At 50.2% G+C, this 16,195-nt stretch overlaps 1 protein-coding gene and 1 long non-coding RNA gene across 13 annotated transcripts in view; one reads left to right on the forward strand and one right to left on the reverse strand.

The window, feature by feature from the left end:
* PLEKHM1 (pleckstrin homology and RUN domain containing M1) overlaps positions 1-2,228 on the reverse strand; it is a 56,513-nt gene extending 54,285 nt beyond the window's left edge. For 5 of the 9 annotated variants that reach the window (XM_047437188.1, XM_017025452.2, XM_047437190.1 and 2 more), the window contains exon 1: positions 744-2,228. The gene's annotated coding sequence lies outside the window, so the exon portion shown is untranslated. The remainder of the gene's footprint in view (positions 1-743) is intronic. The other 4 variants (NR_027774.2, NR_027782.2, NM_014798.3 and 1 more) reach the window with 1 other exon arrangement.
* LOC105369225 (uncharacterized) overlaps positions 2,379-16,195 on the forward strand; it is a 72,359-nt gene continuing 58,542 nt past the window's right edge. The window contains exon 1 of one of the 4 annotated variants that reach the window (XR_002958152.2): positions 2,379-15,033. This is a non-coding gene — a long non-coding RNA (uncharacterized LOC105369225). The remainder of the gene's footprint in view (positions 15,034-16,195) is intronic. The other 3 variants (XR_007065814.1, XR_007065816.1, XR_001752910.3) reach the window with 3 other exon arrangements.

Here is a 16,195-nt window from a genome sequence, read left to right on the forward strand (position 1 = left end):
CTCCTGTCATTAAGCCAAGCTGCCAATAAGGCTGAAAACAACTTAAATATACTGCATATTAATGGGAGGACATTGAAGGTAAACAGCATTCACTTTTCAAAGGAATACGACTATAAGTGGCAAGCAGAGACAGTGTTCTTTGGGGCTCTTTAAAACTGCAATCAGCCAGGTGCGGCGGCTCACGCCCGTAATCCCAGCACTTTGGGAGGCCGAGGTGGGTGGATCACCTGAGGTCGGGAGTTGGAGACCAGCCTGATCAACACAGAGAAACCCCCATCTCTACTAAAAATACAAAACTAGCCGGGCATGGTGGTGTATGCCTGTAATCCCAGCTACTCGGGAGGCTGAGGCAGGAGAATCGCTTGAACCTGGGAGGCAGAGGTTGCGGTGAGCCGAGATCATGCCACTGCACTCCAGGCTGGGGAACAAGAGTAAACTCCGTCGAAAAAAAGAAAGAAAGAAAGAAAAAAGCTGCAATCAAATGGCCCACCCATCTGATGCCGGGTCCTCAGGATTCAGAGAAAATGTGTACCAAAAAGCCCCCAGGAAACTATAAATGCTGAGCATGGGACTTGGGTGCCTCTGGAATGTCCTTCTGCCTCAGCTACTCTGAGATAACATGGTTCCCTGTGTTCATGGAACCCAGATGGCCAAAAGTCAATGATCCAGCACTTAAAAGAAAAGAAAGCGATTCAAGAGCCTCTGTACCCACCTAGGCCTCAGCCTCCCCAGGACCTACTCACCTATACTCTTCACAACAGGTAACGTTGCCTCTGGCACCCATCATATCCCCTGAATTCAGCATCAGGACTGATCTGCCATCAGCTCTGGCAGGGAGAGGCCCTTACAAGTGCCAAGAAAAGGAACACGAACAATATTCTGTGACCACAGCCAACACCACACAGAACTTCCCAGAAGCTCTCCAGGGCGAGAACACCAACCAGAAGGAAGTGACAGCTTCCATCATTCTGTGCTAAGTGAGCTGAGTGAGTGGCCGTCTCTCACCTTCCAGATATTTGAATGATACCTACCATTCCAGCAGCCAGCACAAGTCATTTAATATGAATGCCAAAAACACAATCCCTGAGGACAGGTGCAGGAGACCAGATGCCAGGAAAAACCCCGGCCCCACCCAAGAGTTGGGGAGAGCCCACTGCTCCTCCACCCTTATTTACCACCTGAGCCCCTGCACCCGCCAATCATGCTGCTCAGTCTGTAACTGCGGGTCTGAGTGAGCACCTACATTTGGCTGTTGAGGGGCAGCTGGTGGAGTTGGCAGGCGACTCTGCACTAAGTTCTCAGGTTGAATGGGAGTTGGGTCGAGGGAAGCAATGGACGCAGAGTTGGGGTGAAGAGTTGCGGTGGGTCAGCGGGGGTGAAAGGACATGGAGATGTCATTTTTAACAAGATTGGGTGAGGGTGGTAGGAAAGGAGGCAGCAAGAGTTCGGGACAGTTTGGCAAAGACTTAGGGATGGGCTGTCCTCAGTACGGCAGGAGACGCAAAGGAAGGTATACAGTGGCTAGGAGACTAAGGACGAGAAGACACAGTTAAGACTTGGAATAAGGCTGAGATCGGAGTTATCCAGAAGAAAGCGGTGAGCTCAACAGGGCACCTACTTTGGGGGTGGGTCTTAGATGAGAGGGCGGAGGTAGAATGTTTGGGATGAGCAGATCTTGGGGAGCTAGACGGGGGATGGGGGTGACTGGGATAAGAAAGCTGAGCCAGAAAAGGGGAAACCTGAATGGTGGGTCTCGGGGAGGTAAGCGCGGAGCATCGGGATTACCAGAGGGGTGGGGAGAGAGGATGAGGTGTGTCAGGGCGGGGCGAAGGGACGTGGCCGAGATCGGTGTTGGAACTGGGGTAAAGTGGGGTCACGAGTGAAGCTGCATTTAAGCAAGACCGCTGGTGAGGGGATGCGGGCGCGGGCTGGGGGCTGGACAGACGGAGGGGACGGGGCCACAGCGGCGGTGCAGGGGGAAGGCTGGGTCGGAGAGGAGCGGGCGCGGGCTGGACAGGGCTGAGGGCCCTGAAGCCGGGCAGTCTCAGGGTAACCAGGGGCTGGGAATCGCGGAGGGAGCGGGAGGCCCACCGCCCGTTCGCGCCTCGGCCCTCCCACCACTCCGCCGCCCTCCTCGCATCTTGACCCCCTAACTCACCAAGCGGAGCGAGGAGCGAGGCGAGGGGCGCTCCCGGCCGCGGCAGCCCCTCAGCCTCCGAGCCGACGATGCGGTCTCTCGGCCACTGACAACAGGAAGCGGCGCCCCGGCCCCTGACGCCATCACGTTGGCTCGGCGCTCCGGCCCTGCCCCGGCCCGCGGTGCCAATCGCGCAGCCCGAAGGAGCCTTGGGGCGGGGCCAGCTGCTCCCGGAAGTCCCTGGGAGCTGAGCCCCGGGGCAGATGCGAGGTCTGGGAGGCTGGGGAACTGGGGGCGCCTGCAGGGCGCAGAGAGGCGAAGGCACCGGTGTCAGGGAGAACGCATCCGTTACCGCCCGCCTCCCGCAGGTCTGCGTCAAACTAGATCCTGGCTTCTGGGTTCCTGACCTCGTTTGGCCTCAGAACCATCTGTGCAACATTGGGGCTGTCACTTCGCCTCCCTCAGCTGAAGAGTTCCCACTTGTGAGTGGGACTAATAACGCCTGCCCTATCTTTGCCTCTCCGAGGGCAGCAGTGCAGCCCGTGGGGCGGAGCCCGGGCCCAAATTGGAGCCTCCGCCTTGCGCTTTCAGGATAAACATAGCTGTTTTGACCACACTTTATCCCAAGGGAACGCCTTGAGGTCCCCTTGGGCACTCTCCCGTGTGTAACTCGCCCATTAGCACCGCCTGGCTTGAAGCTTAGGGGTCTGGTTATTCTCTTCTAGCCCGTGTAGAGGATTTCTTTCTTCCTTTCTGCTTTTTTTTTGAGACAGGGTCTCACTCTGTCGCCCAGACTGGAGTGCTGTGGCACGATCACGGCTCACCACAGCTTTGACCTCACGGACTAAGTGGTTCTCCCACCTCAGCCTCCAAGCAGCTGGGACTACAGGCGTGCACCACCACGCCCAGCTAATTTTTTCTTTTTTCTTTTTTTTTTTTTTTTTGCGACGGAGTCTGGCTCTGTCGCCCAGGCTGGAGTGCAATGGCGCGATCTCGGCTCACTGCAAGCTCCGCCTCCTGGATTGACGCCATTCTCCTGCCTCAGCCTCCCGAGTAGCTGGGACTACAGGAGCCCGCCACCACGCCCGGCTAATTTTTTTATGTTTTTAGTAGAGATGGGGTTTCACCGTGTTAGCCAGGATGGTCTCGATCTCCTGACCTGGTGATCCACCCGCCTCGGCCTCCCAAAGTGCTGGGATCACAGGCGTGAGCCACCGCGCCCGGCCAATCTTTTCATTTTTAAAAAAATTTGTTTATTTTGTAGAGACAGGGGTCTCACTGTGTTACCTAACCTGGTCTCCAACTCCTGGCCTCAGGCGATCCTCCTGACTCGGCCTCCCAAAGTGCTGGGATTACAGGCATGAACCACCACACCTGGCCTGTATATCTTCTTTCTAACGCAAAAGTGACATTTCTCTTTCAGATGAACTCGGAACAAAATGTCATAAGTGGTGGCCACAGGTAGTGAAGAGCAGGGCAGGGAGTGTTGGCAGGGACCCATGCTCTGGACACTTTATACTTGCAGGCTTTGGTCAATTGGGAGCCTAGGGCCTGAGTGTGGATGAGGAGAGGTACTGCTACATGCCAGTCCTAAGTGGGCACAGGGGTTGGCTGGGGAACGGGCCAGTTCTTGGAAGCAAGCTTCACTGCCCTCGGCCTGGGCGTCCTGTGCTCTTTTGGCTTCTCTGGGTAGGAAGGTGTCCCTCTTATCTCTGCAAAGTTCAGAGTCCCACTGTCTGCTTTCAAGTATAAAACCAGCACTTGGGGGTATGACCCTGGACTGTATGAGGGCCGCCCTTTCAGTAATTCTCTCTCCAGGAGTGAGAACCTCCCCTTCTCAATTTTAGACTAGATGGGTCTGAGTGTGTTTACTGCAGTTAATGGTTGAGCAGGAAGATTAGAAATAAGGACATAGAGACAAACTATTCTCTCGGTGTTAAACTCATTTTAAACAAAGTGGAAAGTAAGGGATTTAGTAGGGAAATCCTTTCACCTTGGCAAAACGATAGTATACAACTGGCACAGCATAATCCTTGGTGGCTTGGCACAAGCATTCCCTGTCCCCCATCAAGCACATAATGTCCCTCAGTAATTCCACTGCATTTTTGTGCAGCGGCTGTGTGCTGGAGCTGTGGGGAACCCCTCGGTAATCTCTTGTCTGCTTTTTAGGAGCCCCTATCTCCTGGTCTTCTCTTACTTCCCAAGCTACCCTGCTTCTTTGAAAAGTCTTCAGGCTTGCCTACCTCTTCTCAGCTTGCTCTGCATGCCTTGGGGAAGCTGCATAAAGCATGGATCATGAAGGAGGGGGCGCAGAGGAGAGGGAAATGCATGTTTGCACAAATGGACCCTGAGCCCACCAGGCAGGCTCCAGATGGGGGGGAAAAAAAAAAAAAAAACCCTTACATTATCACGTGACTTGCGCAAGAAAAAAGGTACCTGCAAAGGGCCAAGGGACCAGAGAGGAGAACTTGAGAGGTATTCTGGAGGAGGCGACTTTTGATATGAGCTTTCTAGGTGAGTAAAGGGTATTGCAGCTGAAGGGACTGGCTGGTAAGTGGCCAGCACATAGGAATACAGGCTGAGCTCAGGGAAGGGTGCACCCAGAGGTGGGGAGGAAGGTGGGAAGTGAAAAAGGAGGCTGGGCACGGTGGGTCATGCCTGTAATCCCAGCACTTTGGGTGGCCGAAGCTGGTGGATCACTTGAGGTCAGGAGTTCGAGACCTGCCTGGCCAACATGGTGAAAGCCCATCTCTACTAAAAATACAAAAATTAGCCAGGTGTGGTGGTGTGTGTCTGTAGTCCCAGCTACTAAGGAGGCTGAGGTATGAGAATTGCTTGAACCCGGGAGGCGGAGATTGCAGTGAGCCAAGATAATGCCACTGCACTACAGCCTGGGCGACAGAGTGAGATCCTGTCTCAAAAAAAATTTTTTTTAAATAATAATAAAAATAAATAAAAATAAAAGGAAGTGAAAAAGGAAAGGGTAAGGGGAGAGGGCCAGAATGGAAGGGGAGCTGAAGACTGAGCAAGGCAAAGTTGGAGGCCAGTGCAGAAAGGGCTCAAACCATTTGCAAGGATGGTTCACATCCCACTGGTCTGTCAGCTTGGATTTAAAGCACTACCCAGCGTTATTCAAAGCCACACAGGAGAACTGTAGGCATCAGAATGCCCTGGGGACAGGTCCAAAATGCAGATTCCTAAGCCCCACACTAACCCTAAAGAGTCACTCTAGGATGAGGTCCAAGAATTTGGGCTTCACCCCACCTCTCCTGTCCCCTGCCCTCACCACTGAGGACCTAAAGGATAATGAAAGGGGGAAATCTGTGCCCTAAATAATCCCTTTTGGCAGTTACTTTCTGTTTTCAAAGTTCAAGTCTGTCCTCCGGGACTAACCTAGGAGATGAGGGATAAGGGAATTAACATTTATGGAAAATGGAAGAACATACATAGGCACCTGTGTTCACCTAATATTCCTTACCAGCCACCTGAAAGGTGGGTGCTGCCATTATCTCTATTGTATGGATGAGAAAATAGGCTTAAAAGAGGTTAAGTGGCCAGGTGCGGTGGCTCATGCCTGTAATCCCAGCACTTTGGGAGGCCGAGGTGGGTGGATCATGAGATCAAGAGATCCAGACCATCCTGGCCAACATGGTGAAACCCTGTCTCTACTAAAATACAAAGAATTAGCTGGGCGTGGTAGCACGCATCTGTAGTCCCAGCTACTTGGGAGGCTGAAGCAGGAGAATCGCTTGAACCCAGGAGGCAGAGGTTGCAGTGAACCGAGATCACGCCACTGCACTCCAGCCTGGTGACAGAGCGAGACTTCATCTCTTAAAAAAAAAAAAAAAAGAGGTTAAGTAACTTGCGGGGGGGCCACAGCCACAGAAGTAGTAAGTGCTAGAAGTAGGATTCTTACCTAGTTCTTTCTGATTCTAGTTTCAGCTTTGTTCAGTGGATTTTAGAGCCAGGGCTGTTTAGGTTTGAATCTCATCTCTATCCCATATTGTTTGCTGGGACTTCCTTAAAACAGTGTGGGGCCCAGGGCAACCCAATGAGTATGGGGCTAAGATAGCTGACAGCTGCCACCGAGTCAGCATTTTTCACAGGCCCGTTGAGATCGCACTGAAGACAGAAATTTCTAAATTGAATTTTATTGATGTTCAGGAAAGAGAAGTAAGTCACAACGCCCCTTCGCCCTCAGCCCCAAGCAGAGAGCCCAGAGTGTGTGACCTCAGGCAAGTGCCAAAACCTCTCTGAGCCTCAGTTCCTCATTGTAAATAGGGGCTAATGTCAGTTGATGTGAGGAGTAAATATCATGATATCCTGGCTGGGCACAGTGGCTCACGCCTGTAATCCCATAACTTTGGGAGGCTGAGGTGGGTGGATTACTTGAGGCCAGGAGTTCGAAACCAGCCTGGCCAACATGGTGAAACCCCATCTCTACCAAAGATACAAAAATTAGCCAGGCATGGTGGTTCATGCCTGTAGTCCCAGGTACTTGTGAGGCTGAGGCACAAGAATCGCTTGAACCTGGGAGGCTGAGGTTGCAGTGAGCTGAGATTGCGCCACTGCACTGCAGCCTACATGACAGAGTGAGACTCTGTTCCAAAACAACAACAACAAAAAAAAAAAAAAAAAAAGGAAAAGAAAAAAAGAAAAGAAAAAGATGATATCCTTAATGCAAGTTCTGGCCTGTAGTAAGTGCTCAAAGATGAACAGTTGTTACTATTCTAGTTGTGGCTAATTTTCACCCTGCCAATTGGGCAGGTCCTTGCCTTCCATTGCTCTTGTAAGCACTTGAATGAGAGCCTTTCTTGTCTGAACCCCAGATATATTCTTGCTTGGCATCTGATTGAAATAATAAAACTAGTGTTAATGCACCCTCCTCTCTGGACACTGTAATCACTGGTGTGCTCTTCAGTTCTGTTGTAGGAAGCGGTTTCTTTCCACTCTCTCTTTTTTAAAAAATTGATTAAAAAGTGTTGTTATACACACGGTTTACAATTCAATAAAATGAAACGGAATGGGGATGAAACATAACGAACAACAGCAGTTCATTGTCCCTATTGTTCCCACCCTTCTGGGGAGCAGGCTTTCAGCAGAATCTTCTGGTGCTTCTCCCCACATCTCCTGCACGTCTCATTGTTTGTATTTTATTATTTTTTTGAGACACAGTCTCACTCTGTCACCCAGGCTGGAGTGCAGTGGTGCCATCTTGGCTCACTGCAACCTCCCCCTCCTGGGTTCAAGCAATGCTCCTGCCTCAGCCTCCCTACTAGCTGGGATTACAGGCACCTGCCACCATGCCCAGCTAATTTGATATTTTTAGTAGACGCGGGGTTTCACCATGTTGTCAAGGCTGATCTCAAACTCCTGACCTCACGTGATCCACCTGCCTTGGCCTCCCAAAGTGCTGGGATTACAGGCGTGAGCCACCGCGCCCAGCTGTCTCATAGTTTTAGACACTGTCTGTTGCCTTCCTGGTAAACCTGGCAAGGACTTAGCTCTTTTACACCCCAGCCCTGTCCATTCTTGAGGTTTGGGTTTGCCACAATTTGTAGAAAATGAACAGTGTTTACAGAATTGTGACTATATAAATATTATTCACCACAGAGCTTAATAATGTGCTGTGAGGTCAGGCATGGTGGCTCACGCCTGTAATCCCAGCACTTCGGGAGGCCAAGGTGGGCGGATCACCTGAGGTCGGGAGTTCAAGACCAACCTGGCCAACATGGAGAAACCCCATCTCTACTAAAAATACAAAAATTAGCCGGTGTGGTGGTGCCCCCTGTAGTCTCAGCTACTTGGGAGGCTGAGGCAGAGAATCACTGGAACCTGGGAGGTGGAGGTTGCAGTGAGCCGAGATCATGCCACTGCACTCCAGCCTGGGCAACAGAGTGAGACTCTATCTCAAAATATAATAAAATAAAAATAAAATACACTCTGATGATGGCTGCTTCCCCCAAGGGTGCCTCAAGCTCTCTCCTTTTCTTTCAGTGCCATCTGCCATTATCGTGCCATCGTTCTCTTCCAGTGCTCTGGTGGAGCAGGTGGCGCCCAGGCCCACAGTGCCCTCTCCAAGTTCTGTCCTCCATGTGCTCAAGTTATCCCCTAAACTTGTCACATGTGGTCATCCTGGAACTTTGCTTAACTGCTTCCTGGGTTGGGGCCTTTATTTCCTGGCTCCCTTCTCTTCTTGCTTAATTTCCCCTCCCTTTGCTGCAGCACATACTCAGTTAAGAATCCCTTTCTAACATTAAAAAAAGAAAAAGAGAATAGTTCTTGGATCTCCTCATGATAGAAATTATATCTTTAGGCCGGGTGTGGTGGCTCACGTGTGTAATCCCAGCAGTTTGGGAGGCCGAGGCAGGTGGATCACTTGAGCTCAGGAGTTCAAAACCAGCGTGAGCAACATGGTAAAACCCTATCTCTACAAAAAGTACAAAAATTAGCCAGGTGTGGTTGCATGTACCTGCAATCCCAGCTACTCAGGAAGCTGAGGGAGGAGAATCTCTTGAACCCAGGAGGTGGAGGTTGCAATGAGCTCTGATCATGCCACTGCACTCCAGCCTGGGCGACAGAGTGAGACCCTGTCTCAAAAAAAACAAAATAAAGTTGTATCTTTAATATCCATTAACTGAAAAATAAAAATAAAAATAAGGACCAAAAATTACTATGAGGACACACATGCTTTTAAATGAATTTGTGTGTTATTAACCACAGTAACATCTATGAACTTGTGAAAAACTGTTACTGGTTTAGGCTTAAGGGTTTGCCCAGTCTAGCTTCAATGTTCAATGGGTGGGCACGGTGGCTCACACTTTGGGAGGTGGCCAAGGCAGGCAGATCGCTTAGTCCAGGAGTTGGAGACCAGCCTGAGCCACATAGTGAAACCCTATCTCTACAAAAAATTTAAAAATTAGCTGTGCGCGGTCACGCGCACCTGTAGTCCCAGATATTGGAGGGCAGTGGGGGTTGGCGCTGAGGTGGGAGGATCACTTGAGGCCAGAAGGTCAAGGCTGCAGTGAGCCGAGGCTGAGTCACTGCACTCCAGCCTGGGTGGCACAGCAAAACTCTGTCAAAAAAACAAAACAAAACAAAACAGACAAACAAGAACCAAAGTTGGATGCAGTGGCTCATATCTGTAATCCCAACAACTCGGAAGGCTCAGGCAGGAGGATTGCTTGAGGCCAGGAGTTCAAGGCCAGCCTGGGCAACATGCTGAGACCCTTGCCTCTGAAAAAATTAAATATTAATAAAAACAAACCCTAGTAGCTTCAGTCTTTGATTCTCCATCCCTCATTTCATCCCTTTGTCTTCTGGTAATAGAATTTCCTTCTTGTTTTTCTTTTGGGATGAGCCACCTTCGCTCCCTGGGATTCTGCTGGGATTGAGTTACCGCCTTCCGGGCTCAAGCGATCCTCCCACCTCAGCCTCCCAAGTCGCTAAGACCATAGGTGCATGCCACCATGCCTGGCTAATGTTTTGTATTTTCTGTAGAGCCGGCGTTTTGCCCTGTTGCCCAGGAGTTTTTCCTTTAATGTTCTCCTGCTACTTACTAATTCACTTTGTCACCCTGTGAGCTCATAAGAGCAGAGAGATAGCAACAGGAGCTAAAAAAACTCTAAGCTGTGAAAAAATATTAAATATGAAATCATGATAGCTATTAGCTTAATTTGTTTTAGGCAAATTGCAAAGTAATTTTTTGGGAATCAGTGTCCCACTGCAGTGATTCCATATGGGGATTCCTAATTCCCAGTATGTTTTTAAAATAATTTGTAAACACCTAGTACAAACGCATGATATGAAATTCAAGAGGTACAAAAGGGCATACAGCCCTGCACTCTCCCAGTTTCCCTCCCCGAAGGCAACCGCCATTACCAGTTTCTCGTGTGTGCTTCCAGAGGTATTCTTGTCCAACAGAACTTCAGTGATGAAAACAGTTGCCTGTGCTGCCAGTTTGGAAGCCATTAGCCACACGGGGCAGTTGAGCACTTGATATGTGGCTAGTGTGTCTTAGCAGCTGACTTTAAAAAAAATTTTTTTTTTTTTAAAGACTCAGCGTCTTGCTCTGTTTACCAGACTGGACTGCAGTGAGTGTGAACATGGCCTCAAACTCCTATTTATTTATTTTTTGAGACAGGGCCTCACTCTGTTGTCCAGGCTGGAGTGCAGTGGTGCAGTCATAGGTCACTGCAACCTTGACCTCCTGGGCTCAAGAAATCCTCCCACCTCAGCCTCCTAAGTTGCTGGGACTACAGATGAATGCCACCATGTTTGGCTGATTTTTACTATTTTAAATTTTTTGCCTGGGCGCAGTGGCTCATGCCTGTAATCTCAGCACTTTGGGAGGCTGAGGCGGGCAGATCACCTGAGGTCAGGAGTTCGAGACCAGCCTGGCCAACATGGCGAAACCTTGTCTCTACCAAAAATACAAAAATTTGCTGGGTATGGTGGTGCGTGCCTGTAGTCCCAGCTACTTGGAGGCTGAGGCACGATAATCGCTTGAACCCAGGAGACAGATGTTGTAATAAGCTGAGACTGCGCCACTGCACTGCAGCCTGGGTGACAGAGTGAGACCCGTCTCAAAAAAAATAAAAATAAATAAATTTTTTGTAGAAAAGGGGCTTCACTATGTTGCCCAGGGTGTTCTTGAACTATTGGCCTCAAGCTATCCTCCCACTTGGCCTCCCAAAGTGCTAGGATTACAGGCATGAGCCACTGTGGCCAACCTAAGTTTATATGTAAATAGCCATATGTGGCTAGTGGCTACTGTATCAGACCTCACAGTTCTGTACAGATAACGCACAGTGCACAGTAGCATACTATACACGCCCTACTAAATCTTGCTTTGTTCCCTTAACAGCACCTATGCATCTTGGAGATAGATTGTCCCAGTCTGCCTCATTTTTAAAAACTGCTGCATAATATCCTCTTGTAATCCACAAAGGCAATCCCAGACCCAGCCTGGGGGGCCATGGGTCATCACTTTTTACAACAAGCTCTAAAATCTTCCACATATACCATAATCAAGGCACTTCAGAACAACCCTAGGTTCCTCATGCCTCTACTTTTATTAGCCTGGGCCTGACATAGTTGGACATTGAATAGTCACTTCTGGGGGCTGGTGGAAATAATTTACCATGAGTGACTGCCCTAAAATATACTCTCCACCCACGTGGCCCGTGCCTGGCATTCACTAGTGCTGGTGGCATTCTTTAAGGTTGCTCATATCTCTAAGTGGTTCTCCTTTAAAGAGCAAAGTCTCCTGGGAAAGGTGGTCATTAAGCAGAACATCTGGGGCTCATCTTGCTTTTGCCCTGTTGAGAGGGGCCAAGGGACTTGGTAGAGCAGCAGGGGCTCTGACGGTGAACCTCATTGTTTTTAAAATTATTCTTAAGAGGCCAGGTGCGTTGGCTCACACCTGTAGTCCCAGGACTTTGAGAAGCAGAGGCAGGAGGATCGTTTGAGTCCAGGAGTTCAAGATTAGACTGAGCAACACGGGGAGACCTCATCTCTACAAAAAATTTAAAAGAAAATTAATTGGGCATCATGGCACGAGCCTGTGGTTCCCGCTACTTGGGAGGCTGAGGTGGGAGGATCACCTGAGCCCAGGAGGTTGAGTCTTGCAGTGAGCTGAGTTCACACCACTGTACTCGAGCCTTGATGACAGAATGAGACTGTCTCAAAAAAAAAAAAATGTCCTTAAGTCCATGTGGACCCCTGACTAGGTTTGTGCCCTAGACAGCCGTCCTCTGAGGGCAATTCAGGTGGTGAGACTCCAGGTTTAAATGGCCTCCACAGAAATTTCACTAACCTGCCTTGGTGTTTGACCCTGTATAACCCCTTTCTTCTGGAGGTCCCTTTGGGTGGCAGTAGATACAGGATTTGGTGTCTGACAGCTCTGGGGACAGATCCCAGCTCCAAATGGCAGAGTCTCTACAGATTACAAGCCAAATACTTAGCACTATGTGCTGATCTTCAGGAAGTCAGTCTATATTTCATAACAAGTCACATGGGGATAATGAAGGAATGGCCTAAAATGCTCTCAGTAATATTCCTGAGTCATCCCTCAGGGCTGGGCTTGGTGTTATGCATGGCGGGGAAGGGAGCAGAGCTGTGTGCAGAGGAAGATGCAGTTCTTGCCTTGTCAGGATCCCTGACCTGATGGCGACCCATGGTGGAGTCTTCATAGTGACAGACACCACTGTAAAAGCAGATCCAGGTTGTGCAACCCTCAAAGCAGGTCTCCTCACTCACCGGGATAGATAGACTATTGGCCGTACCTGCATCCACCGCTTGCCATGGTTTCGTTGTGGGTGGAGGATACTTTCCTGTCCCCTGGCTTTGGGTTTGCCCACGTGGCTTGCTCTGGCCTTGGAATGAAGCAGAAACGAAAGGCTGCCAGTTCCGAGCCCACGTCTGAAGTCGCCTTAGGTGGTTCCGCGGGCCCCGTGCGCTCCCACCTTCACCCAGAGGGCCTTCTCTGGTGCAGCCGCTGCTTCTTCAGCCTCCGCCCAAAAGGAACGGAGCCCCCTGGCCGATCCGCAGGCCTACAGGGAGCCACAGAGCGCAGCGGCTGGACCAGCATTCAAGCCCAAGCACAGGCCTGCGAGAACCTTGTTCGAGCCGCCGTTTAGGATGGTTGATTAGGACGCGTTGCAGTGGCGGTAGCTCACCAATCCAGTGCGTGCACCCGCTCCTTTATTAGGCTAAAGAACCAGTGGCTCCCACAGGGACCTGATACAACAGTGCGTTAAATAAGGAGCTTATTGAGCTCTCATGTCCTAAGTCAGTGGAGAAGTCCAGGGCTAGTGTGGGGGCTCCGGCGGGGGCTGTGGCCCCCATCCGCATGGAGCCTCCCCATGGTTCACAGGTCTCAGTCTTCGGAGCCTTCGGCCCTGCGAGCCCGAACGGTCCACAGGGCGGCGCCAGACCCTCTTTCGAACGCCATCCTCTTAAAGCCTCGGCTCCAACCGGTTCCACTTCTTCAGGCTCAGGATTTTCACTCTTCTCGAATGGGGGTGGCCCTCCCCCAATCTTCTGAGTCGCAACAGCATCTCCCTCCCTCCAGGACCTCAGAGCCAGAGCTGGGCGAGAGGCCCTAACCTCCGGGGTAGGGTGGAAGCGTCCCTGTGAAGGTGCAGTCCTGCCTCCCATCCCCAGGCGCCGGGCCTCTCCCACCCTCAGCGCCCTGCTCACCTCCAGCTGAAGATGCCAGGGCACCTCTGCTTCCTCCCTGCCCTCTCTGCAGTACCGCCGAGTGTGCATAAAAGGGTTTAATATAGGCTTTGCCGGGCGCGGGGACTCCCACCTGTAATCCCAGTACGTTGAGAGACCAAGGCGGGAGGATCACTTGAGGCCAGGAGTTCAAAAGCAGCCTGGGCAACAAAGTGAGGCCTGTGGAAAAAAAAAAAAAAAAAAAAAAAAAAGAATAAAAGAGGTCCCTTTTTCTGGGAGATTGATATAGGGGAGTGTGAGTTAGAAGGGAGGCATTGAGGATCAGTCATTTAAAGCAGCATCCAAGGATGTTCAAGGCTAGAGATCCACAGGTGTATTTTCAGAAACTGAATTTCCTGGCGGGGCACAGTGACTCATGCCTGTAATCCTAGCACTTTGGGAGGCCAAGGTGAGCAGATCACTTGAGGTCAGGAGTTCAAGACTAGCCTGGCCAACATGGTGAAACTGTTTTTAGAGAAAAAAAAAATTGGCCAGGCATGGTGGTGGGTGCCTGTAATCCCAGCTATTCGGGAGGCTGAGGCAGGAGAATCACTGGAACCCGGAAGGCAGAGGTTGCAGTCAACCGAGATCACGCTACTGCACTCCAGCCTGGGTGACAGAGACTGTCTCCAAAAACAAACAAACAAACACAAAAAAACCCCAAAACCCAAAACAAGCCAGGCGTGGTAGCTCGCACCTGTAATCTCAGCCCTTTGGGAGGCCAGGGCGGGTGGATTACCTGAGGTCAGGAGTTCGAGACCAGCCTGACCAACATGGTGAAACCCCGTCTCTACTAAAAATACAAAAATTAGCCGGGCATGGTGGCGCATGCCTGTAACCCCAGCTACTAGGGAGGCTGAGGCAGGAGACTTGCTTGAACCCAGGAGGCAGAGGATGCAGTGAGCTGAGATCGTGCCATTGCATTCCAGACTGAGCAACAAGAGCAAAACTCCACCTTAAAAGAAAAAAAAAAGAAAAAACAAACAAAACTCCTGAATTTCCCTGTGGATATCTTTTCTCTGGTAGCCTTTTTCAATGAGGGCTAAGTTTTCTCCAATACTATATGGCCTGCAGACCGCTCAGCTTTCATTCCAGTGAAAACATTCCAGAAAAAACTCTGAATCAATCCCAGGTGTTTCTCCAATCAGCTCAGGATGATTGTGTGTTACCTGCTGCCCAGCTAGTGACACCTCTCCAGGCCTCTGACTTAGCTAGGTCTCCATGTCACTCCACCGTAGACTCCCCGCCTTCTTCTTTTGCAAAGCCTCGGACACCCAAACACCTACCAAAAGTGGGTAGGGTGCCAGGACACCTCCAAGTGTAAGTGGGGCTCTCCAGCACACCTGGATGTGGAGGTGTGATGCAGAGTGGTGGCTGCTCGTGACACTCATTTCACCCCTTTCTGTGCAGGTGCCAGAAGCCCAGGAAGCACACATCAAGGCTCGCTTGCCAGCGGGGTGCTGCCAATAAAATGTAGTCACGTGGAATTTGGAATGTGGAAAGGAGGTAGAAGTCATCCTTTCCTCCCCCATAGCAGCAGGTGTGCAGGCTCTGGTGGTCAGCTGGACTCCATACTCCCCCACCAGTCACCAGCCTGGGGACCGTGGGGCTGCAAGGACCTCAGCAGCGGTTTCCCAAGTTTCCTGACTTCTTCCATCCTCTGGAAATCAGCTGTGGTAAAGTAGCCTGAAAGCCAGTGGTGCAACCCCTTCCCCACAACCTTCACCACCTCTAGCCCCTCCAGTGATAAGCACTAATTGCCTATATACAACCCTTTTTTGTTTGAAATATCTAATTTCTGTTTTCCTATCTGGGGTAGTGTAACATAAGAAGAAATATATATTTGGTCTCTGCCCCCAGTTCCTACCACAAAGCTCCTAAAACCCTTGGAAATTCCTGAATGATGGCGGTGCTAAGAGCATTGTCCTTTGTTAGTTTATCATTTTTCTTTTCTCCTAGGTGTTTTTTCCTTTTTAAACTTTTCTTTTAGGTTAGGGGGTACATATGCACGTTCGTTATATAGCTAAACTTGTGTCATGGGGGTTTGTTGTACAGATTATTTCATCACCCAGGTACCAAGCCTAGTACCCAATAGTTTTTTCTGCTCCTCTCCCTCCTCCCACCCTACACCCTCAGGTAGGGCCCAGTGTCTGTTGTTTATGAGTTCTCATCATTTTGCTCCCACTTACAAGAACATGCAGTATTTGGTTTTCTGTTCCTGTCTTAGTTTGCTGAGGATAATGGCCTCTAGCTCCATCTGTGTTCCTGCAAAAGACATGATCTCGCTGTTTTTTATGGTTGCACATCTTTTGTTCTAACATTTGGTCCTTAAACCTGGTTCCTGATACAGAGCTCCTAAATCCCTTGGAATTTTCTGGGTGATAGAAGCGTCCTTTGTTCTCATGAGGTGACTCTTGGTGGGCTCCTTATTTGGGGACTGGTCACCAAAAAGACCTATGGTTGGAAGCGTTGTGCTGTCAGCCCCATTCCCCATCCTCTGGCGTGGGGAATGGAGCTGGAGCTCAATCATGCCTATGTGATAAAGCCTCCAGAAAACTCCTTAAAAGACAGGACTTGGAGAGCTTCCGGGTTGGCGAACACATCCATGTTCCAGGAGAGTGGTGCACCCCAACTCCACAAGGACCCTTCCAGACCTCACCCTGTGTATCTCTTCATCTGGCTTCATCATTTGTGTCCTTTAAAATATCCTTTGTAATAAATCAGCACTAGTAAGAAAACTGTTTTCCTGGGTTCCATGAGCTGTTCTAGCAAATGTTCAAACCTGAGGAGGGAGTTGTGGGGACCTCCAATTTACAGCCAGTTGGTCAGATGCATAGG

This window comes from Homo sapiens, chromosome 17, assembly GCF_000001405.40.
Source record: "Homo sapiens chromosome 17, GRCh38.p14 Primary Assembly".
Lineage (NCBI taxonomy): Eukaryota > Metazoa > Chordata > Mammalia > Primates > Hominidae > Homo > Homo sapiens.